The sequence below is a fragment of the Homo sapiens genome, chromosome 3, assembly GCF_000001405.40.
Source record: "Homo sapiens chromosome 3, GRCh38.p14 Primary Assembly".
Taxonomy (NCBI): Eukaryota; Metazoa; Chordata; class Mammalia; order Primates; family Hominidae; genus Homo; species Homo sapiens.
Window position 1 is genome coordinate 75,792,969 of NC_000003.12, and position 2,988 is coordinate 75,795,956.

General features: G+C 37.6%; 1 annotated feature.

Annotated features, from left to right (window-relative positions):
* Nucleotides 1–201: a silencer, noted in NCBI's record as "peak4708 fragment used in MPRA reporter construct". NCBI's record gives its function as "represses an SCP1 promoter by STARR-seq MPRAs in K562 erythroleukemia cells {active_cell/tissue: K562}" and the evidence as "EXISTENCE:reporter gene assay evidence [ECO:0000049][PMID:32103011]".

Consider the following 2,988-nt stretch of genomic DNA (forward strand, 5'->3'; position numbering starts at 1 on the left):
TTATACGTTCATGAGAGTTACTCCCCACCATTGCAAGAGACTTCTGCCAAACATAGGCCAAAATTCATCTCCTTGGTTTGCAGGTACGGTTTGTCTAATCCTGGAAAATAATTTCGATGAACTACTTCAGTGTTCAGAAACATTGGAGTTATAAATAGAAAGAGGAAGAGCCACATAACCTAATAGACAATTACCTCTCATATGCCAGTGGTCAACACATTCATAAGCCCATGGGTGCTTGATCCAGGGACAACACAGGGTCCTTGACGGATTCTGAAATTTAAGGCTTTGGTTTACTGGTAACAGAGACAGGTTAAAGTACATGTCTTCAGTCTTGAGTAGAGTGTAATCAGTCTGATTTCTTTTTTTTTTTTTTTAATGAGACAAACATCAGGTAAAGACCTTGACAAGAAGGAAGAGAAATCCCGAGATTCTATAATCATAATAATCGAATTGTAATTGCTAGTTTAAGTAGTCCTTCAAAAATACATCTCATTCCTGACAGGAAAAAACAAGTTTTTTAAAATATGTTATATCTGGGTTAACTAGGGAACACTTGGAGCCAGGAAATAATTCAGGATTCAGCCCAAATTATAGGCAAATAATAAAAACTCGGAAACAATGATCAGGGCTGGAATCTAATAGCATATGTCATAGTTTTCTTTTGGAACATAAATTTTCTCTCTCTAGTCCATCATTTTATCAAAGACAAATCATAGTAGGACAAATTTGTGTGCAAAATAAGTTTTAGTCTTATCGTACCTGGTCTGATTATTTGCATAAAGTGCAGTAAGAATATTTATTGACCATATAGGCTTCTTAAAATTGGCTTTGTTGGAACTTTTTAATAAGGAATCTTAGACTTTTAAAAGCCTTGAGGCTAGCCAAGTCAAAGATTTGCATCAGACTGTGTCTGTAATACTTTTTTTTAACCTACTTTTTTTTTTATTATACTTTAAGTTCTGGGGTACACGTGCAGAACGTGCAGGTTTGTTACATAGGTATACATGTGCTGTGGTGGTTTGCTGCACCCATCAACCCATCACCTATATTATGTATTTGTCCTAATGCTATCCCTCCCCCCGCCCCCACCCCCCAACATGCCCCAGTGTGTGATGTTCCCCTCCATGTGTCCATGTGTTCTCGTTGTTCAACTCCCACTTATGAGTGAGAACACGTGGTGTTTTGTTTTCTGTTCTTGTGTTAGTTTGCTGAGAATGATGGTTTCCAGCTTCATCCATGTCCCTACAAAGGACATGAACTCATCCTTTTTTATGGCTGCATAGTATTCCATGGTGTATATGTGCCACATTTTCTTTATCCAGTCTATAATTGATGGGCATTTGGGTTGGTTCCAAGTCTTTGTTATTGTGAACAGTCCTGCAATAAACGCAGGTGTGCATGTGTCTTTATGGTAGAATGATTTATAATCCTTTGGGTATATAACCAGTAATGGGATTGCTGGGCCAAATGGTATTTCTAGTTCTAGATCCTTGAGGAATAGCCACACTGTCTTCCACAATGGTTGAACTAAGTTACACTCCCACCAACTGTGTAAAAGCATTCCTATTTCTCCACACCCTCTCCAGTATCTGTTGTTTCCTGACTTTTTAATGATCGCCATTCTAACTGGCATGAGATGGTATCTCATTGCGGTTTTGATTTGCATTTCTCTAATGACTCGTGATGATGAGCTTTTTTTCATGTTTGTTGGTTGCATAATTGTCCTCTTTTAAGAAGTGTCTGTTCACATCCTTTGCCCACTTTTTGATGGGATTGTTTTTTTTTTTTTTTTGTAAATTTAAGTTCTTTGTAGATTCTGGATATTAGCCCTTTGTCAGATGGATAGATTGCAAAAATTTTCTCCCATTTTGTAGGTTGCCATTCACTCTCATAGTTTCTTTTGCTGTCCAGAAGCTCTTTAGTTTGATTAGGTCCCATTTGTCAATTTTGGCTTTTGTTGCCATTGTTTTTGGTGTTTTAGTCATGAAGTCTTTGCCCATGCCTATGTCCTGAATGGTATTGCCTAGGTTTTCCTCTAGGGTTTTTATGGCTTTAGGTCTTAGGTTTAAGTCTTTAATCCATCTTGAGTTAATTTTTATATAAGGTGTAAGGAAGGGATCCAGTTTCAGCTTTCTGCCTAAGGCTAGCCAGTTTTCCCAACACCATTTATTAAATAGGGAATCCTTTCCCCAGTGCTTTTTTTTCTCAGGTTTGTCAAAGATCAGATGGCTGTAGATGTGTGGTGTTATTCCTGAGGGTTCTGTTCTGTTCCTTTGATCTATATATCTGTTTTGGTACTGGTACCATGCTGTTTTGGTTACCGTAGCCTTGTAGTATAGTTTGAAGTCAGGTAGCATGATGCTTCCAGCTTTGTTCTTTTTGCTTAGGATCGTCTTGGCTATTTGGGTTCTTTTTTGATTCCATATGAAATTTAAAGTATATTTTTCCAATTCCATGCAGAAAGTCAATGGTAGTTTAATGGGGATAGTAGTGAATCTATAAATTACTTTGGGTAGTATGGCCATTTTCATGATATTGATTCTTCCTATCTATGAGCATGGAATGTTTTTCCATTTGTTTGTGTCTTCTCTTATTTCTTTGAGGAGTGGTTTGTAGTTCTCCTTGAAGAGGTCCTTCGCATCCTTGTAAGTTGTATTCCTAGGTATTTCATTCTTGTTGTAGCAATGGTGAATGGGAGTTCACTCATAGTTTGGCTCTCTGTTTGTCTGTTATTGGTGTATAGGAAAGCTTTTGATTTTTGCACATTGATTTTGTATCCTGAAACTTTGCTGAAGTTGCTTATCAGCTTAAGGAGATTTTGGGCTGAGACGATGGGGTTTTCTAAATATATTATCATGTCATCTGCAGACAGAGACAATTTGACTTCCTCTTTTCCTAATTGAATACCCTTTATTTCTTTCTCTTGCCTGATTACCCTGGCCAGAACTTCCAACACTATGTTGAATAGGAGTATTGAGAGAGGGC